Genomic DNA, 24985 nt, shown 5'->3' with positions numbered 1-24985 from the left:
ACATAAAAAACTTTCTTGAATGAGACTCCAGTTGTTCATTCGTTGACCAATAGTGAAATAGCCAAAAAGATTCTGAATTAAGGTAATGGTGATAATAGCGACAATGAAGATGATGCTGTTAACACTGCAGATAAAGTGTCTATAGACAACATGGTTAAAGTATGTGATGGACGTATTGAAGGACTGGAGCAGCAATGCCTTCATAACAGAACAAGAAATCATGTCCATTTATAAAATCAAAGAGAGATTTCTAAAATAAAAACCATTGTTAATGAGGCAGAAGGCTCTGGAGGAAACATTGTTAAAAGCCATCCAGCAGATTCTCTCATCATCCCTAGAGCACCCAATTCCTGGTGTCTCAACTGCTTCTGATGTTACTTCTCACCTAAAAAAATAAAATACAGTGCACAGTAACCTATTAATCAAAACACAGCATTGTAGGTGGTGGCTGAAAGCCTGCTGTTGTTTGTTGTTGTTGTTGTTTCACAGCTGATACACGTGTTCCGGTGAAGTCACCGGGCTGGTAAGTTACCATGAGCACGTGATTTTTTCAGTGTGTTAATGGTATGTCATATTTTTTACTGTTAAGTACTTACGTATGAATAAGCACAAAAAATGATTGATTATTGGTGGCATGTGAATTTAGAGTCAGGAATAATGATGATGCCTAACAGTCATAGACTGTTCACTTGAGTGGCTGAGATTTGACACCTTTGCTTTTTTTGAATTTTATTTTTATTTTTGTAGAGACAGATTCTCACTATTTGCCCAGGCTAGTCTCAAACTCCTGGGGCTCAAGTGATCCTCTCACCTCAGCCTCCCCAAAGTACTAGGATTACAGGCATAAGCTACCACACCCGGCCTCCTTTCCTTTTGTATATAGTTTGATCCACACAAACTTTGTTTTGTGAACAAAATCATTTAAAATATTGTATAAAATTACCTTCAGTCTATGTGTATAGAGTGTATATGAAACATACAAAAATTTTTTATTTAGACTTGGGTCCCATCTTCAAGATCTCTCATTATGTATATGTAACTATTCCAAAAATCAGAAACAATGCAAAATCAGAAACATTTCTTGTTCCAGGCATTTCAGATAAGGAATATTCAACCTGAATGATACCATAAGATATATTAGGGTATATTTGTATATCATATGTGACATATTGAACGCATATGAGGGCTGTATAAATAATGCTAAACTAGCTTATCTGGGGACACATTTTGTTCCTTTCCATTCATCTTCACTTTGAGGTCTACTAGGAATAGAAGGGCTTCATTTGTAAGGGACAAGTTTTGAAGGATGTTTATTGTCACCATGCTAACAATAATGATTGTAACAATAATTATAAAAATATATTTATGGACATTCGATAAATTCTCTTTTATGCTCTTTTAAAACATCTAAAACCAATTCTGAATAGCATATCAAGAGCTAGAGGCAGTTATCTGAAAGTGAAACTAAAGCAGATTTAGATCCCATTGGATAAAGTCAAGTATTAATGAAGCTCAACATCTTAATTTCTACATCATTAAAACTGTTTATAAAAACATGATGTCTCACATAATACAAATAATATGATGCCACGCTTGATAAAATGGTCAAACTTCAAATTTCTTCCCTTGTATCTGAAAACCAGACAGTAGTAATAGCTTCTTTGGATGTTTGTTTTAGCCACTTTAGAATGATTTAAATGATAAGCTTTCTATTTTGTCATACAAATTTATTTTCAAATTGGACTTTTAACAAAAGCCTCCAGGAGTGTTATGCCAATCCTCCAACTTTACCCTAGTTATCTGATAGGCCACACAATTTCTATCACATGTGGCTTAGCAGAAGGTGAGAGTAATAGCGGTTTAGACTGCGGATAGCTGAAGGCTCCACACAGGCTGAATGAGATAAAACCTGTAATGTCCTGTACACTGTGACTGGTCTAAAGGAAGTGTTCCATAGATGGTTGTTTTTAATGTTATTATGTTTACAATTTTTTTTGGTCCCTAAAGCCTTGGAAAAAAATCCTCCTCATTATAAAATACATAGTCACATATGCACATGGCAAAAGAAAAAAAGCCTTATCTGGCTCTTGCTTCCACAGGGCTTCATTTTCTGTAATTTTTAGATAGAGGTGGTGATTGCAAAACATATGACTAATTGTGGTTGTCATTTAATTGTTCACTTTAAAATTATTAGTTACATTATGTAAATTTCACCTTAAAGTGTTTTAAAACAAAAAATTATAAAACATACAGATTTTCAGCCATTCTAATATTTATCAGTTGTGTTTTTCTTATCTCAATATCTGAGCAATTTTTGAAAAATAGTCTGTCAACTTAATAAAAAAAGGTTCTGCTGTCATTAAGCTCTCACTATTACAGTTATTGTATATTATTGTTTGATTCCATTTTGAAATTTTCATATTTTTATTTTAATTTTGTGTCTACTAAGCCTAACATTATAAACTAATGAAGTTTTCGGGAACAATATATTTGCCATTTTTAATCCTTTTTCTTCAGAATATATTGTTACTATGTTGGTTAGCATATACAAATGCAACATTGTTAAAATATTTTTGTTTAATATAACTTTATATGCAAGTTAACTTGTTTAATATATATTTAAGCAGGAAGCCATCAGTGTTGGGGTGATCAGACCCAACACCAGGTCATGGGGGTGACAAAGTCCTGCGGAGTCAAAGGATTGAGAAAAAGACAGTTTGAGAGAGAAAGCTGGGACCGGGGGCCATCACTATCATGGAGGCTGTGAAGGCCCTGAGCTCTGGGAGCCCATGCTATTTACTGGTAATCCAACAGGTAAACAGGTGGTGAAAATGTGGCGGTCAAAAGGGCAGGTGCATGATCTACAGCTGTGATGGTTCAGCATTTATAAGGAACATGTTCTGCTACTTGAGGTAATGGAAATACAATCGATCTAGGAGCCTAGCAAGGCTAGAAGCAAGGAGTCAGCAAGTCTAAACACGTTCCAGAGGACATTATGCAAGCCCTGCCTCAGTTTCCCTCCCAACACTCAGCTTTTCCTGAACACATCAGTCTGAGCTAGCTCTGTACTTTGAACTCCTACTTAACAAACTGCTATCTTAGTAGGTAAACAAACCAAAACCTAATTAAGGGATATAACAAAGAGCTGAGTTTCAGCCAATCACAAGCAGCCAAGTTTCAACAAATCACATGCAGCCACATTATTCCATCATGCCCAAATTAGGCAAATGCCTAGCTGTAGCCAATCTGGTGATTTACCTACTTTGCTCCTATATCTTGGCTATAAAATCTCACTGATCACACTGCTAGGCAGAGCTCTCTAAGACTATTCTCATTCTGAGTGCTGCCCTATTTATGAATCATTCTTTGTTCAAATAAGCCCTATTAAATCTAATTTGTCTCAGGTTTTTCTTGTGAAAAATACAATAGTAACTTGTTAATCTGTCTAAAATTTTTGTGCCACAGTAGAAATCTCCTTTTTAAATTTTTTTATTTTTATTTTTGTATTTCTACAGGCATGGCTGGCTTTAAATTACCTTTTGGATTTTATTCCGTTTACATTTTAATTTTAAGTGTGTTTCTTATAGACATCAGATTATTGAATTTTGTTCAGTGACTTATGCTTGTTATTAGAGTTTAATTTTTTTACTTTATACGTTTTAAGTGATAGCTTTCTACTACTTCCTTTGCCCTGTTACTTTTTCTTTACTATTTTTTATTCCATTTTATTATGATGGTTCTGCAGTTGATTTGAAACTTTTTATTTTCCATTGAAATGATCATCTGCCAATCTGATTATATATCCTTAACAACATATTTTGACGTAGTTATCATTACTTTTAATATATATTTCAACAGAGTAAGTTAATCTTGAATATCTTTTTGGGTGTGATATGAAACCCAAATTCCATGCTGGCTTTTACCTCTGACATAGTTTGGAGCACTTTAAAAATATTATTTATATTTTGTGCTTCTCAAAATATGATCTAATTAACTGTTTTGTTTGATATTTCTAACCATTTCTTTTCCTAATCTTGCATTCAAGAAGTCCTTAAGTAGATTTCAAGTCCTTGAAATCTTTAATTGTTTTAAACTCTCCATTTATTCTTTTGGGATATTTTTTAGCTGTGAGACATTATAGATAATTTTTTAAGGTTTGCTACCATTTTAAAAATGTACCTCTAGTCTTCAATAGAAAAATTGTCTTTTCTGATTGATTTCCTTGGGAGCCTGCCTTGTGCCTAAAATCTGAGCATCAGGTAATTCTCGTCTATAGTAAGACATAGCTTGTTCCTTGAGGCTTTCAGTCTCCAGAAAAACAAGACAGTCGAAAGACACAGATGGACAAGAACAAGTGTTATCTGCCACATCAGATTGGACTTGACTTACCAAACAATTTCTATTATATGTTACATATTACATACCATTGAGAGGTGAAGCCAGCTGTTTCACTCGCGTCCGTGTGAAGAGACCACCAAACAGGCTTTGTGTGAGTAATAAAGCTTTTTAATCACCTTGGTGCAGGCAGGCTGAGTCCGAAAGGAGAGTCAGGGAAGGGAGATGGGGTGGGGCCGTTTTATAAGATTTGGGTGGGTAAAGGAAAATTACAGTCAAAGGGGGGTTGTTCTCTGGTGGGAAGGAGTGGGGGACACAAGGTGCTCAGTAGGGGAGCTTTTGAGCCAGGATGAGCCAGGAGAAGGAATTTCACAAGATAACGTCATCAGTTAAGGCAGGAACAGGCCATTTTCACTTCTTTTGTGGTGGAATGTCATCAGTTAAGGCAGGAACTGGCCATTTTCACTTCTTTTGTGGTGGAATGTCATCAGTTAAGGCAGGAACTGGCCATCTGGATGTGTACATGCAGGTCACAGGGGATATGATGGCTTAGCTTGGGCTCAGAGGCCTGACATTCCTGTCTTCTTATATAAATAAGAAAAATAAAACAAAATAGTGGTAAAGTGTTGGGATGGTGAAAATTTTTGGGGGTGGTATGGAGAGACAATGGGCGATGTTTCTCAGGGCTGCTTCAAGTGGGATTAGGGGCAGCGTGGGAAGCTAGAGTGGGAGAGATTAAGCTGAAGGAAGATTTTGTGGTAAGGGGTGATATTGTGGGTGATATTGTGGGGTTGTTAGAAGAAACATTTGTCATTTAGAATTATTGGTGATGGCCTGGTTACAGTTTTGTATGAATTGAAAAACTAAATGGAATAAGAGAAAGAGAAAAACAGGTATTAAAAGTCTAAGAATTGGGAGGACCCAGGACATCTAATTAGAGAGTGCCTAAGGAGATTCAGCATAGTCCTGCCAGCAAAGATTATTTATTTACTTTAAGAGTTAAGAGTGGCAGTTTGGGGATAGCACCAGGAGATATCAGCTGTGATGGCTTGGAGAAACAGTGAAAACCAGCAGTGTAAACAAGAGCAGGGCATGTATGAGTAGTTGAGAAAGGTGAATTAGGAGTATGACCAGACAGAAGATAGTAGGGATGACAAGTTTTTTGGGGCACAGTCCAAGTTGGTCTGGTGTCTGGAATGAGACTGGGGCCTAATAAAAAACAGCGTCCATACAGGAGCTCAAATGGGCTGTACCCTGTAGCATTCCGAGGACAGGCCTGAATTCTGAGAAGGGAAAGTGGTAAAAGTATTGTCCAGTCCTTTTTAAGTTGGTGGCTGAGCTTGGTGAGGTGTGTTTTTAAAAGACCATTAGTCTGTTCTACCTTTCCTGAAGACTGAGGACCATAAGGGATATAAAGGTTTCACTGAATACCAAGAGCCTGAAAAAATGCTTGGCTGATTTGACTAATAAAGGCCGGTCTGCTATCAAACTGTATAGAGGTGGGAAGGCCAAACCAAGGAATTATGTCTGACAGAAGGAAAGAAATGACCGTGGTGGCCTTCTCAGACCCTGTAGGAAAGGCCTCTATCCATCCAGTGAAAGTGTCTACCCAGACTAAGAGGTATTTTAGTTTTCTGACTGGGGGCATGTGAGTAAAGTCAATTTGCCAGTCCTGGGCGGGGGCAAATCCCTGAGCTTGATGTGTAGGGAGGGGAGGAGGCCTGAGCAATCCCTGCGGGGTAGTAGAATAGCAGATGGAACACTGAGAAGTAATTTCCTTGAGGATAGATTTCCAGGATGGAAAGGAAATGAGAGGTTCTAAGAGACTGCCTAGTGGCTTGTAACCTACAAGGAAGAGGTTATGAAATTATGACAGAATAGAATGGGCCTGTGAGGCTGGAAGGAGATATTTTCCTTGGTCTAAGAACCATTTGCCTTGTGTGGGAAGAGATTGATAGGTGGAAGTTTCAGCGGAGGAGTAGGTGGGAGCGACCGATGTGAAGGAGAAAAACTAGCCGTGAGGGACAGAAGTTGGAAAGCTAGCTGCTTGTCTAGCCACCTTATCAGCATAAGCGTTGCCTAGAGCAATGGGATCTCACGCCTTTTGATGGCCTTTGCAGTGAATGACTCCAGCTTCCTTTGGAAGTAAAGCAGCCTTGAGCAGAGTTTTTATTAAAGAGGCATTAATGATGGAGGACCTTTGCATAGTGAGGAAACCTCTTTCAGCCCATATAACAACATGGTGGTGCAGAATATGAAAGGCATATTTAGAGTCAGTATAAATATTGATGCATAGTTCTTTTGCAAGAGTGAGGGCTTGAGTTAAGGCAACTAGTTCGGCTTTCTGAGAGGTAGTGGAGGGGGCCACAGCGGTAGCCTCAATGATAGATGTGGATGATACTATAGCATAGCCTGCCTTTGCTGGTGAGTGGCGATTAGACCTTGTGGAACTGCCATCAATAAACCAAATGTGATCAGGGTGAGGAACAGGAAAGAAGGAAATATGGGGAAATGGGGTGAATGTCAGATGGATCAAAGAGATACAGTCATGAAGGTCGGGTGTGGTATCCAGAATAATGTGGGAGGCCGGATTGAAGTTCTTGCCAGGAACAATGGTAATTGTGGGAGACTCAGCAAAGAGTGAGTATAGCTGAAGGAGCCGAGGAGCAGAAAGTATATGTGTCAGGTATGAGGAAGAAAATAGATTTTGGAAGTTATGAGAACTGTAGAGAGTGAGTTGAGCATAGTTTGGGATCTTAAGGGCTTCTAAAAGTATTACGGTGGTGGTGGCTGCCTCACGCAGACTTGAGAGCTAGGCAAAACAGTAAGGTCAAGTTGTTTGGATAAAAAGGCTACAGGGTGCAGTCCCGGTTCTTGTGTAAGAATTCTGACTGCACAGCCCTACACTTCAGCTGTGGGTAATGAAAAGGGTTGGGATGAGTCAGGAAAAGCTAGGGTGTGGGCAGTCTCTAAAGCTGTCTTCAAGGAATGGAAAGAGGAGTGGGGAAAGGATTTAAGATCTATGGGGTCATTTAGGTTCCCTTTTGTGAGTTTATATAATGTTTTTGTTAGGATGGCAAAACCAGGTATCTAAAGTCGAAAGTATCTAACCTTGCCTAGGAAAGAAAGGAGTTGTTTTGTAGAAGATGCTGGGGTTTGAGAGATCAGTTGGACATGAGCGGCAGGGAGAGCACAGGTGTTTCTGTGAGAATTATGCTGAGATAGGTAACAGATGAGGAAGAAATTTGGGCTTGACTGAAGTAATGGGGGCTGTCTGTGAAGCCTTGCAGCAGTACAGCCCAGGTAATTTGCTGAGCCTGATGGGTGTCAGGGTGAGTCCAAGTGAAAGGGAAGAGAGGCTGGGATGAAGTGTGCAAAGGAATAGTACAGAAAGCATGTCTGAGATCCAGAACAGAATAATGGGTTGTGGAGGGAGGTATTGAGGATAGGAGAGTATATGGGTTTGGCACCACAGTGTGGATAGGCAAAACAATTTGGTTGATAAGGCGCAGATCCTGAACTAACCTGTAAAACTTGTCTGGTTTCAGGACAGGAAAAATGGGGGAATTGTAAGGGGAGTTTGTAGGCTTTAAAAGGCCATGCTGTAGCAGGTGAGTGATAACAGACTTTAATCCTTTTAAAGCATGCTGTGGGATGGGATATTGGCATTGAGCGGGGTAAGGTTGATTAGGTTTTAATGAGATGGTAAGGGGTGCATGATTGGTCGTCAAGGAGGGAGTAGAGGTACCCCATACCTGTGGGTTAAGGTGGAGGTATACAAGAGGAAGATGCAAAGGAGGCTTTGGATTGGGAAGAAGGGCAGCAATGAGATGCGGCTGTAGTCCAGGAATAGTCAGGGAAGCAGATAATTTAGTTAAAGTGTCTGGGCCTAATAAGGGAACTGGGCAGGTGGGGATAACTAAAAAGGAGTGCTTAAAAAATATTGTCTAAGTTGGCACCAGAGTTGGGGAGTTTTAAGAGATTTAGAAGCCTGGCCATCAATACCCACAACAGTTATGGAGGCAAGGGAAACAGGCCCTTGAAAAGAAGGTAATGTGGAGTGGGTAGATTTCATATTGATTAAGAAGGGGACAGACTTACCCTCCACTGTGAGAGTTACCCAAAGCTCGGCATCCGTGATGGTCTAGGGGGCTTCCAAGGTGATCGGGCAGTGTCAGTCTTCAGCCACTAAGTCGAGAAGAACTGGGAAGGAGTCAGTCGGAGAGCCTTGGGCCAGAGTTCCAGGGGGTCTAGGAGTGGCTGCCAGGTGAGTTGAACAGTCCGATTTTCAGTGGGGTCCCACACAGATGGGACATGGCTTAGGAGAAATCCCTGGCTGCAGGCATCCCTTGGCCTGGTGGCCAGATTTCTGGCAGTTGGGGCAAGCTCCTGGGGGGAGGCGGGCCTGGAGGAACACCTGGCCACTGCGGTTTAGGCGTTTGGAAGTTCTTGTGTGCTGGAGATGTGGCTGGGGTTTGTCTCACAGTGGAGGCGAGGAATCGCAACTCAGAAATATGTTGCTGCTTGGCTGCCTCTACTCTATTATTGTACACCTTGAAGGCGAGGTTAATTAAGTCCTGTTGTGGGGTTTGAGGGCTGGAATTTAATTTTTGGAGTTTTATTTAATGTCCGGAGCGGATTGGGCAATAAAATGTATATTGAGAATAAGACGGCCTTTTGACCTTTTAGGGTCTAGGGCTGTAAAGCATCCCAGGGTTGCTGCCAAATGAGCCATGAACTGGGCCGGGGTTTTATATTTGATGAAAAAGAGCCTAAATGCTATCCGATTTGGGATAAAGAAAAAGGAGCATTAACCTTGACTATGCCTTTAGCTCCAGCCACCTTTTTAAGAGGAAATTGCTGGGCAGGTGGGGGAGGGCTAGTCGCGGAACGAAACTGTAAGCCGGACCAGGTGTGAGGAGGGGAGGTGATAAAAGGATTATAGGGTGGAGGAGTGGAGGTTGAGGAAGAATTGTGACCTAGCTCGGCCTGGTGAGGAGGGGAGAGGTCAGATGGGTCTGTAGAAAAGGAAGATTAGAAAGACTCAGTGACGCTCGGGGTTGGGACTGAGGGGACAGGCAGGAGGGAAAGAAGGAAGATTTAGGACAAGTTGCACTGGGAACAGAGACTAGGGAGGGACCGATAAGTGAAAGAATGCCTGGACGTCAGGCACCACAGACCGTTTGCCCATTTTACGACAAGAATTATTTAGATCTTGTAGGATGGAAAAAATTGAAAGTGCCATTTTCTGGCTGTTTGGAACCACTGTCAAGTTTGTATTGGGTTCAAGCGGCATTGCAGAAGTAAATAAGGCATTTAGGTTTTAGGTCAGATGTGAGTTGAAGAGGTTTTAGGTTTTGAAGAACACAGGCTAAGGGAGAAGAAGGAGGAATGGAGGGCGGAAGCCTGCCCATAGTGAAGGAGGCAAGCCCAGAGAAAAGAGAGAGTAGAGACACAGAGAGAAGGGGTCGGGGGTTTCTTGCCCCCTAGAAAAGTGGTACTTGCCTCCAAGGTTGAAGGAGAATGGGTTGGGGGGTTCTTGTCCCCCAGAAAAGCAGTACTTGCTGCTAAGGGTGAGGGAGAAGGGGTTGGGGGGTTCTTGCCCACCAGAAAAGTGGTACTTGCCACTAAGGGTGAAGGAGAAGGGGTTGGAGGGGTTCTTGCCCCCCAGAAAAGTGGTACTTGCCACTAAGGGTGCAGGACCAAGGCAGGCGTCCCCATGTGGTCAGACACCTCTGAAACGTGGGTAAATAATCAGGCAGGCGTCCCCACATGATTAAACACCAAGAGAAGACTGTCTTCGAGTCTGTGACTGGTGCCAGAGTTTTGGGTCCATGGATAAAATGAGTCTCCTTCATCTCTACCAGAAAAGGAAAGGAACAGAAATTAAGAGAAGGGAGAGATTGAAGTGTGGTGCCAAGAATGAAAGGAGAAAGCGGTTGAGGGATAGTGAGAGAGGTTGGAGAAGAGAGTAAAAAGAAGCCGCTTACCAGATTTAAAGTTGGTGAGATGTTCCTTGGGCTGGTTGGTCTGAGGACCAGAGGTCGTAGGTGGATCTTTCTCATGGAACAAAGAGCAGGAGGACAGGGGATTGCTCTCCCAAGGGAGGTCCCCCGATCCAAGTCATAGCACCAAATTTCACTCGTGTTCGTGTGAAGAGACCACCAAACAGGCTTTGTGTGAGGAATAAAGCTTTTTAATCACCTGGGGGCAGGCGGGCTGAGTCCAAAAAGAGAGTCAGTGAAGGGAGATAGGGATGGGGCGGTTTTATAAGATTTGGGTAGGTAAAGGAAAATTATAGTCAAAAGGGGGTTGTTCTCTGGCGGGAAGGAGTGGGGGTCACAAGGTACTCAGTAGGGGAGCTTCTGAGCCAGGATGAGCTAGGAGAAGGAATTTCACAAGATAATGTCATCAGTTAAGGCAGGAACAGGCCATTTTCACTCCTTTTGTGGTGGAATGTCATCAGTTAAGGCAGGAACTGGCCATCTGGATGCGTATGTGCAGGTCACAGGGGATATGATGGCTTAGCTTGGGCTCAGAGGCCTGACAAGCTGGACTTCCTGGGTCGAGTAGGGACTTGGAGAACTTTTCTGTCCAGCTAGAGAATTGTAAATGCACCAGTCAGCACTCTAAAAACTCACCAATCAGCACTGTGTCTAGCTAAAGGATTGTAAATGCACCAATCACCACTCCGTAAAAACGCACCAGTCAGCGCTCTGTGTCTAGCTAAAGGATTGTAAATGCACCAGCAACGCTCTGTAAAATGGACCAATCAGCACTCTGTAAAATGGACCAATCAGTAGGACATGGGTGGGGCCAAATAAGGGAATAAAAGCTGGCCACCCAAGCCAACAGTGGGCAACTCACTCTGGTCCCCTTCCGCATGGTGGAAGCTTAGTTCTTTTGCTCTTCACAATAAATCTTGCTGCGGCTCACTCTTTGGGTCCGTACTAACTTTATGAGCTGTAACACTCACCGTGAGGGTCTGTGGCTTCATTCCTGAAGTCAGCGAGGCCACCAGCTCATGGGGAGGAACAAACAACTCTGGACGCACCACCTTTAAGAGCTGTAATATTCACTGCGAAGGTCTGCAGCTTCACTCCTGAAGTCAGTGAGACCACGAACCCACTGGAAGGAAGAAACTCCGGACACATCTAAACATCTGAAGGAACAAACTCCGGACACACCATCTTTAAGAGCTGTAACACTCAGCGCGAGGGTCTGCGGCTTCATTCTTGAAGTCAGTGAGACCAAGAACCCACTGGAAGGAACCAATTCCAGACACACCATCAGTAAGGAAGTGCCTGCCTTGCTGTTCTTTGATCTCTGACTCACTGCTTTCCAAACTGTGACATCTTAGCTGCCAAATAAATTTGGTTATGATTTCTTCTCATCTGGTGGCCTGAAAAAATATTATTGCTTTTGTGAAATTATGGCAAAATTAATACTTCGGGTCATTCATTTGCCAGACCTTACTTTTAACTCCCAAGAATACAGACATACACACTTTATAAAAGTAATAGCATTTCAACTGGGTGTCGTGGCTCATGCCTGTAATCCCAGGACTTTGGGAGGCTGAGATGGGCAGATCACGAGGTCAGGAGATTGAGACCATCCTGGCCAACGTGGTGAAACCTCTTCTCTACTAAAAATACAAAATTAGCTGGGTGTGGTGGCACACGCTGGTAATCCCTATTACTTGGGAGGCTGAGGCAGGAGAATTACTTGAACCCAGGAGGCAGAGATTGCAGTGAGCCAAGATGGTGCCACTGCACTCCAGCCTGGCAACAGAGCGAGACTCTGTCAAAAAACAAACAAACAAAAGTAATAGTATTTCTCAGCAGAGGGCTCTCATGAAAATTTTATCCATTGACTTCTCTATAGCAGTCTCTCTAAATGTATGTACTCAGGCAATGCATTCTATAGAAACCAATCCAAAATATCCCATTAATTACATCTTCATCTTTCTCTCCTTTCTTCTCAAGACCTCATATTATTCTGCTCTTTTGTTTCAAACTTTTAAAATGTGACAAGTAGGTGCTGGGATGCATTTCAATGAGGATTGTCCCCAAATGGATTTTCATATTCCTTCAAGATCTCCGTATTAGAATTTGATGTCTTGACGTTCTATAAAATTTGATGTCTTGACGTTCTATAAGATTATATTTAATTCACTACCTGTGAAAGGTTGACAATTTGCTTGCATTTCTATGTCTTTTGGTACTCTGATTATTCTCAGTTTGGATTTTGTTGGTTTGTTCCTGAGTTCTGTGATTTCTTTTTCTCTGTCATTAGCTGTGTAACTTAGCTGTGCTTTCACTTGCTCTGTTAGTCTGTTTTTACCGTCATAATTTCTTCCTTCAGGATGTTGGTTTTGCTCCTACTGGACTGCTCTGATATGTGACATCTTTTATAGGATTTATAAATTTCACACAAGTTTTTATAGCGTTTTTTGTAATCTGTTTTGGTAATCTTTTAAGTATTCAGAGTAAATTACTCTACAATCATGTAAAGTCATTTTCAGGTGATCGGTGTTTTTCTAGTTTTTTTTTTTTGTCCCTGTAGTAGTTGCCCTACTACTAAAACAAGGGTTTTCAAAAATCTAACTTGTGTTCTAGGGTAGCTTGTTGACATTTGCTGCTGTTGCTGTGTTTTCCTGTTTCTAGTTGTATCATCTTGTGTGTTTCTCTCTGGATTTCCTTCTTTCTTGGATTTTCTCTTTTTTTGCACTTAGCTAGGAGGAAGTAGCTTGTCACCTGTTTGTCTATTCTTTTCAAAACTTTCTTTCTTTTGCCTTAGCTGAACTGGGAGACTGGGGGAAACTATTGAGTCATGTTTATGTGAGAAGGCAAAGAGTGTCCTTCACCCCAATTCATCTTTCCCTCATGTTCATCTCAGATGCATTATTCTAGAATAATTCTCCATACTATAGGACTTAACCAAAAGAGTTGTGATAATAATAATGGCAATAGTAATTGTGATAATTTGTATACACATAGGAATTCTACAAGTGTAGAGTGCTTTCCCAACTGTTACCTATTTTTTAACCTTGCAAAGCCCTTGGGTGTTTAGTGGGATGGGCAAATGGTTTCCAAATTTACAAATGAGCAAACTTAGTCCAAGAGGTTCAGTGACTTGCTGTTAGTCATATAGCATTGTCAGTCCTTGAACTTTGCTATCCTGGCTATAAAATTTGAAATCATTCTACTATCACATCCTAACTTTTAAGTTAATGCTACAGCTTTTAATTAAGCAGAAAAGATTCTCTCTTCCTCCAGTGAGATAGATTAATGTTACTCTAAGAGCATCTTCCTGACCCTTTGAAGTCGTGCTGAGTTGATAACTGATCTCACTGCTCACTTATAAGTGGGACACTCGGAAGACCAGCAGCATGAGTACTTCCTAAAAAGAGTTAACAGCATAACTTAGATGGAGTTTATGTTCCCAAAAGTTTGGATGACTTTTGGAACTTGCGTTCTTAATTTTGATCAGTTAGCCTGTCGAACCACACAGGGGACCACTACTAATCAAGAACAATTATTCAAAATATGCTAGTGACAAGAATCATTTCATCTTTCACATTTCTGTTTTATCTCAAGCAGCCAACTGTAGGCTGTCAGCATTTCCACATGTTTGATCAATAACTTTTCCAAGCTGTAGTGAATAGAGCATGCTGATTAATTGAATGACATGACATTGAATTATAAGTGTGTCTACTTTCCAGTTGTGTAGAAAACCGTAATGAAAAGTTAAAGGATAAAGGAGTCATTGTATTTTGGTTAGAGCAAAAGTGAAAGGCAGTCTACAAATTAACAACCTGCAAGGAATAACTGCTGTCTCTGAACAACTTCCTCCTGCCTACAGAAGCCGCCAGGGTTCCATCATCTTACTACTTGTCCAGGCCAAAATACCTGGCAATCATGTTGACTACTGTCACTTCTTCACACCTGCCACAGTCAAGCAATCACCGGGACCTATAGTTTTGATTTTTTAATTTCTCTAGAATTTCACCCCTTATCCCCTTCCCCACTGCCAACACCTTAGTGAAGGCCCTCATCCTGTCTCACCTGGATTACTGCAAATATCTTCCTAACTGGTCTCCCTGCCCCAGCTCTTGTCCCTCTGCAGATCCATCTCCACACTGCTGCCACTTGATTTTTCTAATTGGCTTAAAATACTAAGTGATTTCATGTAACCTTTAGGGTAGAGATTAATATTTCTTGGCAAGGTATGTGATTGTAATCTGGCCTTTGCTGATCTTTTCAGGCTCATCTCTTGACACAACTCCTCCCTTGCCCTTCCTCTTTACCACTAGGCACTATCCATCCTAAATTATTTTCAGTGTCCCAAATATACCAAGGTCCATCCTGCTCAAAGCTGTTTCATGAGCTTCTTCCTTTTCTGGGAACATCCTTTCTTTTACTCCTAGCAACTGCTGCTTCTCTGTTGCTTCCAGGACTTCTTGCCTGAACTTTCTTATCATATGTCACTTGCTCTGTCAGAGTAGCAGCATTTATATTTCTGTGAATATTAATCTTTAAAAACTGGACTCTTAGACACTTAACAGTGGGAAGCTCAGATGAAAAACAAACAAACAAAAATCTTGAGTTAATTATGATCCTGCAAAATGTTGGAGCCAGCAGTAGACAACACAATTCAGCAGTTTTACAGACAGACGCGAACGTTGTGTGTAACATGGCCAATCTCCGCCTCCTTGTGATTGAGGGAGAATGTAAGTAGTGTGGTATATGCTTGATGGAAGATGTTCTGCCTTTTTTAATATTGAAAACGTTGTCTTTTGTATCTAAATAAATGGATACAATTGGATCCATGGGGAAAGAACATAAGGACCTCCCTTAATACTGTGTTATATTTTTGAAATATAGTGTGGATGAGGAGATGGAATAGATTTGCTTAAGTGGGTGGATCTGTTTCTGCTCTAGAGAAATATAAGAAATGGCTTGTGCTATTTTGTAGGAAAACAACAGGATAGGAAATGACAGGAAATACTATTTACTGAGAAAGCATTCACCACTTTTCCTTGGAAAAAAGCTTTCCCCTGACTTTCCATTTTCTATTGATGATGTCACAGAGACTCGAACCCTCATATTTTCTTTGTGACTGCTTTACTGGCTTCACTCTACCAGAAACAACTGCTCACAGGACACATCTGGCCCCCATGTCTTTTTGTAAGGCCCCCAAAATTGTTTTTACATTTTTAAATGGTTGAAAAACTCTAGAGAAGGATAATATTTCATGACATGTGAGAACTGTATAAAATCCAGACATTAGTATCCATAAATGAAGTTCTGTTGGAATACAGACATGCTCATTCATTTACATATTATCTATGGCTGCTTTCACGACGCAGCAGCAGAGCTGAGGAATCGCGACAGAGACCATGTGGCCTGCAAAGCCTAAAATATTTACTCTCTGGCCCTTTACAGAAAAAAATTTGCCAAGCCCCTGCTTTAAGTCTTAGTAGACTGTAAGCTCCTTGAGCCTAGGTATTGTATCTTTCTAACATTTACATCTTAAGGAACCTGTAACAGGCTGCTTAGCACGTAGTAACTTCTCAATAAACGTTTGAAGAAAAATAACATTCAAAAAATAATACAGTACAAAATGAGTTTCTCCTTTTCCCTGCAGCAACTAACCCAGGGCCTTTACTAGGAGGGTCTCAGTACACGCTTTTTTGAATTGAGATTATTCTCCTGTTTAAATCAGTGCTTTTCAAACTTCACCATGAATCAGAATCACCTGGAGGACTTGATAAAGCACTGATTTCTGGGCCTCACACCTATGAATGTGTGGTTCTAAAATGTACCCAGGTGGTGATGCTGATGCTGCTGGTCCCTGGACCAGTACATCCTGGGCTTGGGCCTGGGAATCTGTGTATCTAACAAGATGCTTAACTGTTTCTGGGATTTCTAGAGTCACCCCTTTGGGGATCCATGAGTAGAACAACATCCTCTAAGATATGAGTGCAGCTCTGTATTCATATAGTTAGTGCTGTATTCACAGAAGTAATCTTGTTTGCTCTTTTAGTTTTAAAACTCACATGACACAGTGTTAGGGTGGATTATTCATTTTTTAAAATCTTCAATCCTAGAAATGAAAGGAAATCAAGATAAGGTGAAGAGGAGATCAGTTGCCTCTGCAGAAGGTGTCTGAGAAGGAGATGTTGAAGGTAACAAACTTTGTCTCTGGATAATGGATCAGAAGTTGGAAAATACTGATCCAATGTAATTGGTTTTTTACTTCTTTAAGAAAATGACATAATCCTACGTATTATGTTTCCATTAAAATCTTCAACTGCTGAGAAGCCTACGGAAGTTGAGGAGAAAATCCTTTTCTTCAAAAATTGGAACATAATGGCAAAAATAGTTCTCATAATGACAAGAATGCCAGGATTTAGTGAACACTGTGTAAAGCTCTTAATTTAAAATTGTATTTCTTGCTGTGTGAGGCTCTAACAAAACTTTTCAGCTGTGTCGTTCTCTATTGGCTGTGATGTTAAAGGCGATTCTATGCTCATTGTCAACTCCTGTCAGTCCTGACTGAGTGCCAGGGAAGCTCAAGTTCACCTGGACTGCACTGCTAAATGAACAGCCAGGGTCTAGGTAGGGACCTTCACAGAAGCAATACTTGACACAACATATTCCCTGTCCATTCTCCATAAGAATTAAGAAGTAGGAATGAGAAGCCACATGATGCAGTGAAGAGAGAATGGATTTGGAGCCAGACAACCTAGTGTTACATGGGACCCTGCTGTGTGCTTGGAGTGACCTTGAGAAAGTCACAACAACCTCTTTTGGCTGTTTCCTCCACTGTAAAATTTAAGGGGTTTTGTTGGTATCAGATGATTCTTATACGAAAGTGCTTTGTAAACCAGAAAACATGGGACCCACTTACTGCATTGTTTAATAGATAAACAAGATTCATTTCTAGAAGTCTGGAGGCCTGGGCCTGATGCTGAGTGTATATTAGTACAAGGTTGCTGAAGGAAAACAGAGAGAAAAGAAATATATAGATTTAAAATAAATGTTAAATGCTTTATAGAGCAGAACAAGACTCTATGTAAGAAATGAACCAACTATACGTTTTGCAGAGGGGCTCACTTGCTTTTTGGTAAGTGTGTGGTTTAGAATTTCTTAGATGTAGAAGTTTATTTCACGTTGGCCAGGCTGGTCTCAAACTCCTGAACTCCAGCAATCTGCCTGCTCTGGAAGGATCGCAGGTACTTTTGCAGAAATGTAGACAATAAGGTGACCTCAGCAAGAGCAAAAGTACAGACTTGAAGTATTTCCAAACTTGAAGGGATTATTTTAATATTGTGGTTCTATTGAGAAGAAAGGTGCTGATAGTAACTTTCTTTGGTTGGTCTTGGAGAAGGTTACTGACAAGATAATGAGTTGCCAAGGATGTTCATGAGCAGAAAGCAAGTGAGACCTGCATCAACCTATTGCAGCTGGTGCCAGGTGAGATCTGGAGGCCCTTTAAAGCATCTGTGCTAACACTTGGAGTGGTGAGGGCAAAAACAGAGGGCAGCCTAGGCAGGCAGGTCAGATCGCCAATGCCTGGTGAGCAGAGCAGAAGGAGCTGGGGCAGGGTGAGCTGCTGCATGCTGGTCTTAAAGCTATTTGAAATTGAGGCTGGTGTCCTTGACAAAGTAGACAATGTGCTCCCCCATAAAGAAGCAAGCTTATAAAATATATCAACCTACTACGTCTTTATAGAAACAAAGGGTTTATAAGTGAAAGAATCACAAGGATCTTTTGATTTTGAGCAGCAATATTCTTATCTATAGCAAACAATTACTGCTTGAATGTTTTAAAATGTACTTGCATATGTACCTATCACAGGCATATTCATATGACAAGGAAATATTTATTTTGGGCTTCTGTTATTTCTTCACTGAAAAGTTTTCTCAAAGGCAAAACAACAGAGCTCTGATTATCTTTTTGAATTTAATTCATTCTGGATTTTTAATGTTTATTTTCTTGATTAAAATGATTTGAATTTAAGGGGGCCAGACAATTTAATTAAGTGCCAGTGGATGAATGCCAACTGTCCCACAGTTTCATCCTCCCTTTTCCTTTCATGTATTTTTGTTGTGAATTTCTTTAGTTTTTTTCTGACTAACCAACGAAAATGCATGACTAAATCGTTTATGCTTAATTCCTGGCTTATTTTTGCTGTATATTCTGTTTTGTTGGCAATATATTTTAATGGCTTTCTTCCCCTTAGCAGAATTTGTGGTAGAAAATTGCTTTTAAGAAAAAAAAAAAAAAAAAAAAAGACCGGGCAGGACAGAAATTTTAAGCTAATCACTTAGTTTCTGAAATTTTAGCAGAAATAAACAAGTTGATTAGTTTGAAATGTAATTCATAGGCAATGAGTTAAAAAGAAATACTTGAGTTGCTGATTACAGCTAGTTCAAATAGACCCCCTGAAATGTAATTCACTCTTGGAGTGATTCCAAATGGCTTCTGTATTAGTCAGGCTTCTCCAGAGAAAAAGAACCTACAGGATATATAGAGAGACATGTAAGAGGACATTTATCATGCAAATTGGCTGATACCATTTTGGAGGCTGAGAAGCCCCACAATATGCCATTTGCAAGCTGGAGAACCAGGAAAGTCAGTGGTGTAATTCAAGAAGCAAGCTTATAAAATAGATCAACCTACTGTGTCTTCATAGAAACAAAGAGTTTCTATAGGATTTGTGAAGAAACAAAGGGTTTCCCCTTGAGTACTGGGGGAGAGAGGGTGGTTGGTAGAAACTCTGGAGTCTGAAAACCCAAGAACCAGGAGCACCGATGTTCAAGGGCGGGAGGAGATGGATGTCCCAGCTCCAAAAGAGAGAGAGAATACGCCCTTGCTCGCCTTTTTGCTGTATTTGGATAGGAGCCCAGAGGTGATAAAGAACTAGCCAGAACAGAACCCAAATCTTCTGTTTTTTTAAGTGACTCAAATTCCTGAGATCATCAGGAAAACAATGTCTCAACAGATTTTCCTCAACGGATTGGTTCTTGCCCACCCATGTTGGTGACAGCAGATCTTTTTTACTCAGTCTACTGATAGAAATGCCAATATTTTTCAGAAACACCCTGACAAAAACAATCAGAAATAATGTTTTCCCAAATATCTTGTTGTCCCTTAGCCCAGTCAAATTAACACATAAAATTAATCACTGCAGTTTCTATCTGTTTAAATTTTCAAAATTTTCCAAATGCTGTGATCATATTTCAAATAGTACTGAAAGAATTTTTAAGCAACATTAATCTGACATCAAATGCACTGAAAGGTAGGTTGTGTCTTGAATTTTCTCAGCACAGTATACATGTAATGAAAGGGGACATCCATTTGGATAAAGGATATTCCTGTTTCTTCCTAGTATATCTGTATCTCTCTTCCGTTTTTCCCCTAATGTTTTTTTTCCTTTGGATAATTTTTATTATAGATAATTCCAAACATAAACAACAAAAAAAAGAGCAGCATAGTAAGCCTCCAAGTACTCTAATACTTAGCTTCAAGAATTATCAACTCATGACCAATCTTATTTTCTCTATACTCCTACCTATTTCTTCCTTTCTGAAACATTGAGTTATTTTGAAGCAAATTCCAGACATTTAAGTTGTTTCATGTATAAATATTTTAGTTTGATCTCTGAATTACAAGGATTTCTTTAAAAATGTAATCCAACTGCCATTACTACATCTTAAAAAATTGAGATTATTCACTTCATCAAATATCCAACTCAAGCCTCATATAGTTTTTATAGATGTTTATTCAAATCAGGATTTAAACAAGATCTGTATTTTGTATTTGGTCTATATGTCACTTAATTCTCTTGTAATTATAGGTTCCCTTCTCTCTTGCTCTTTTTTTTCCATCACAATATAGTTGTTGGAGAAACTGATCGTTTATTTCTATAGATTTTCCCAGTCTAGATTTTGCTGTTGTATTCTCATGGTTTTATTTAACATCTTGTTCTGTGTCCTGTATTTCTTACAGTCTGGTTTGTAGATCAGGAGGCTTGACCGCAGTCTTCTGGCAAGACTACTCCCTAGATGTTATTCTGAACTCCTGTTAGGAGGCACATATCTGGTTGTCTGTGTCACTTTTTGTAATGTTATTATTGATCATTGGGTTCAGGTGTTGTCAGCCTTACCCATCTATTATAAATCCTCCATAAGTTTTTTACTTTACAAATTCAGTAGCCATTACTCTTGATCCATTGTTTGAAGAAGGGTAGATTATTATTTAAAAAAAACAATTTTTGGGTTCAGGTAATGACTTAATGACAAAACTATGTGGTTTTTCTGAGAGTTTGTTGTGGTTCAACCCTTATCTTTGTAGATTTTAATGCGAACTCACAAGGAATCTTGAATTAACTGGTAGACACATAATATTGGTCTAGATAGTCTGTACAAAAACAAGCCCAGAGTGACCCCTGAGTCAGTGAGGAAAACATAGCTCCAAGTCTAAAAAAAGGTAAGATGTAAAAATAATAATAAAAAACTGGAATCAGTATATACTGCATTATTTATACATTAATATTTTTATAAAGAATAATACCACAGTGAGAAACACTACTGAAACATCCTCACCTTCTGCATCTTTCAATTGATTTAACTCTTAGACTTTGAGGATGGGGGAGTGAATAATCCAATGCATTGATTCCTACCCTGATAATCATTGATGATTTTCCATTGCCCACCCTGGAGGACTAGGAGAAAATGAGAGGAGATCAGGTGGGAAGAGCTGAGAGTAATGATCCAAATCTATAGCTATGTGTGAAGCTGATTCATAGATAAATTGATTGTTAAGTGTGAAAGGTAAGTTAGAATAATCTGGTCTGACATATATCCCAATTCAGGAATCCCTCCCAAAGAATCTCTGTTAGATGCAAATTGACCTGTTTTTACACTCTGCCTTTTTATTTGCTGAACATTCTTATTTTTCACCATTGATTCATGTGTTCTTTGAGGGCAAGGGCTTAGTCTAATTAATCTTTACATTCCTCATAGGGTGTAGTACTGTTTAGCTTACTACAGATGCTTACTAAGCTTGTCCCAACTGATCAAAATTAAATACAGATATTTAATATCTTTTCAGCTGTAAAGGGGGTGGGGGTGGGGCTCTTAGAATGTCTTCCACTTCACCTTAGTGCCTAATCACAGACAGAAGACAGAAATGAGATAAACACTTCAAGCTACCCCTGCTATCCATCAACCTCTGCCTCTGGACTCACTTGCCCTTTCTTACCAGTGATGTCAGGAGTTGATAACACGCTTCTGAAGGCCAGCTATGCCACATGTGGGTTTTATCCCCCTTCCCATACTGACCTATTTAGAATTTTTTAAAAATTCAGTTGAGTTTTCAATTTCAGTATTCCAGATACTATTCAAGTGACCATAACAAGCCCACTAATCTCTCCTTAGCTTTTTCTTATTACAATTGCTGTTTCCAGTGGCCAAATAGGTCGCACATTATGGGAAGCTTAGAGGCCAGTGGGGAGAGGAATTATAGTGGGATGGGAGATACAGGAACCCAGGTCAGAAGTGGCAACCCAGAGGTGCAGATTGTTCCACCAGGCGGACAATTTGGATAAGACAAGTAATGTCAAGGACACATGTGAACCTGGACTTAGTGGGAACTTCAAGGGGTGCCACTGGCTTCTACTGCCATGGGTGACCCAATGGTTAATCCTGCTCCCATTAGCTAAACCACCTTATCATATAGATTTAGTCTCCTTTCCCCGAAGGTCACCATTTTATTCTTAGGGTGATGCATAGACAACTTGCATAAGTTACGGCACTTTCATCCCCAAAGCATCTCATGTTGAAACTACTGTACTGAGGACATCTCCCAGAGTGACACATCACTTACCAATATCAAACCATTCTCTTTTCTGAACCTCTCTTCCTGCTTTCTGAGTACCATGGTGCCTTTTGCCTCCATTTACATATTTTCCCACTAAAATTTCTCACAGGTTTAATTCACATTTTCCTGTTTTACATTAACCACACACACATACTGGATAGCCCACCTCTCCTCCTTGCCCCATCTCTAGTCCAAGCTACCTTTGCTCCTGTGTCTACTTCTGCCTCTTTCTACACATTCGTCACCTAGAGTCACTATTATTCACATAAATTCATGCCCATTCAATCGTATCAGTTCCTTTCAACACCACCACCCAAACCACCACCACCGTGCTCCTTCTGTGGTTTCCAGCTGCTCTTTGGACAAAGCCTCAAACATTTATCTTCATCTACAACTGCATGATCTATTGTGGCTGATTCTTCCATCTCATCTCACAAGGAGCTTTCTGTACTTTGCCCACGCCAGAATTCATTCTCTCTAGTTAGAATGTCCTTTCACTGCTCAGCTCAAATGTCTCTTTCTTAGGGAAGCTTTATTTGATCAAGGTAAGACCCCATCATATGCTCTTATAGAACTTTTTATCTTTTAGCAATTATCTTTGTAACATATTTGCTTGTAAGCAAATTATTTAATATGTGTTTTTAAAAACCCTATGTCTTCTTTTAGTGTACTATTGAATAGTCAGTACCTAACATCGTAACTACTAGATGTACCAAAAAATAATAAATTTATAAATAAATTCACAAATTTAAATGGATCTATTTAATAAATAAATTCTATCTTCCCTTATCTTCCCTTTTATGATAATATTATCAGTTCCAGAAATGTTATTTAATACAAATGAGGTGATTATGAGTTGTGTTTTAATTATTCTCTTTTTCATTCCTACCTCCTGGCCTTCAACTCGTGGTTACTTTTACCACGACTCCATGATACTACCAGCAGGCCATAAATATCCGTCTGTGAGGTGCCATACAGGACCAGTGGGATTTTGCCACCATCCTTCTGTTGGTCATGATGACCTGGTGAAGTCTGCAATGCTTAGCAGCATTCAAGGAGATTTTCTCTAAATGCAAATGAACTCTCTCTACATGTAAAAAGAGATGCTTATAGTCATGTATTAGTCAGCTTGGGCTGCCATAACAATACCACGGCAGGAATTAATTTTCTCATAGTTCTGGAGTCCAAAAGTTTAAGATCAGTATGCCAGCAGGGTTGGTTTCTGGTGAGGTCTCTCCTCCTACCTTGTAGATGACCGCTTTCTTGCTGTGTCCTCAGATAATTTTTTTCTCTGTGCGACACACTCCTGTGTCTCTTCCTCTTCTTATAGAGACATCAGTCATATTGGATTAGTGTCTTATGGCCTCATTTAACCTTAATTACCTCCTGAAAGGCCCTGTTTCCCATTGTGAGTCACACTGGGATTTAAGACACATTGGATTTTGGAGGGACACATTCATTCCAGAACAACTCTTTAACATTTTCCCTAGGGGTCTAGGTCTAAATGGAGTCTACTCTCCTAACTACAAAACTTTTTCTCTTTTGGCTGTCACTGATAGGTAACCCCTATTTTAAAAGGCTCTATTAGTAGTTAAAGGATCACTTTCACTGTAGCATTCTTTTGTCTGTTTATTATCAACTCTAGGAGAATTAGATCAAAACTTTGAAATTAATATATATGCATTATTTTGCAATTGTCTAACTTTTAAGTTAAATATTTGACTTAATATAATGATAACATAATTTTAAGTACTAAAAATAAAGTTAAACAGATACAAATAGAGCAAGAGCAGGGATAAATTTAGAACTAAGATTTGAATAAAAACAATATTTATTTCTGAAAGTTTTGTAAAGTACTTAGAACATCCATACTTAAATGGAACCATAATGTAAATACTTCTGTAAATCTATTTATAAATGGACTTTTTGAAATAATGCTAAAAAACCCATCCTTTAATAAACTCTGTCATACTAATTAGTTATATAAGCCAAAGCTCAAATTTAATTTTCCCAGTAATGCAGACCCTGGCCATTTTATTTAAAATGGATTCATGTTTCTTCTCCCAAAATACCCATCTTCTTTTCATGCTTTTCTTTTTTCAATAACACTTACCATTTTCTGAAATATCATATGATTTGTGTATCTTGTCTACTGTTTGTCTCTTCCAACTAGAATATAAGATCCATGAGGTCAAGGTCTGTGTGTTTTGTTCACTACTAAATCTCCAGCCTCTAGAGCAGTGCTTACCATGTGACAGGCATTCAATATACATTTGCTAAACAAACATAAATTAGCAACGTCAACTATCTGTTCAATGGGATTTGGATAGCCAGATCTTTTCTTTGTGATGTAAGCTAAATATAACTATAAAGTGGTGCATCAGAATCACCTGTGGGGTTTGTTATAGCAGATTGTGGGGACTCCACTCCCAAATTTTCCAGTTCCGTAAATCTGGGGTGACCCTTGAAAATATGCATTTCTAACACATTCCTGGATTTTAATGATTCTGAGAGTAGAGAAGCCACACTTTGAAAAATATTGCTTTAGGGAAACCAACACGCAACAACATCTTGAAATGTTGGGAATAAATATGAATTGTTAACATCTGACTTGAGCTCCTGGTTTGGTACATCTGCTATATTATAATGAACCTGAGGAACACATAGAGTGGAACACTGGACTGCTATGCCATAAGTGGTTTCCTTGACTCCCTCCAGCTAATTAAGTAAAGTAGTGAGTCCCCACAGGCTGTCATCTT

At 39.8% G+C, this 24985-nt stretch overlaps 1 long non-coding RNA gene across 4 annotated transcripts in view; it reads left to right on the top strand.

Annotated features, from left to right (window-relative positions):
- The first annotated feature begins 15468 nt into the window (after nucleotides 1-15468).
- The window catches only part of LOC105369715 (uncharacterized), a 182759-nt gene continuing 173242 nt past the window's right edge, over nucleotides 15469-24985 (top strand). For all 4 annotated transcript variants that reach the window (XR_931474.1, XR_001749060.1, XR_001749061.1 and 1 more), the window contains exons 1-2: nucleotides 15469-15524; nucleotides 16448-16525. This is a non-coding gene — a long non-coding RNA (uncharacterized LOC105369715). The remainder of the gene's footprint in view (nucleotides 15525-16447; nucleotides 16526-24985) is intronic.

Source organism: Homo sapiens, chromosome 12 (assembly GCF_000001405.40).
Source record: "Homo sapiens chromosome 12, GRCh38.p14 Primary Assembly".
Classification (NCBI taxonomy): Eukaryota; Metazoa; Chordata; class Mammalia; order Primates; family Hominidae; genus Homo; species Homo sapiens.
The sequence above is the reverse complement of the archived record's forward strand: the minus strand, read 5'-3'. Positions and strand labels throughout refer to the sequence as shown.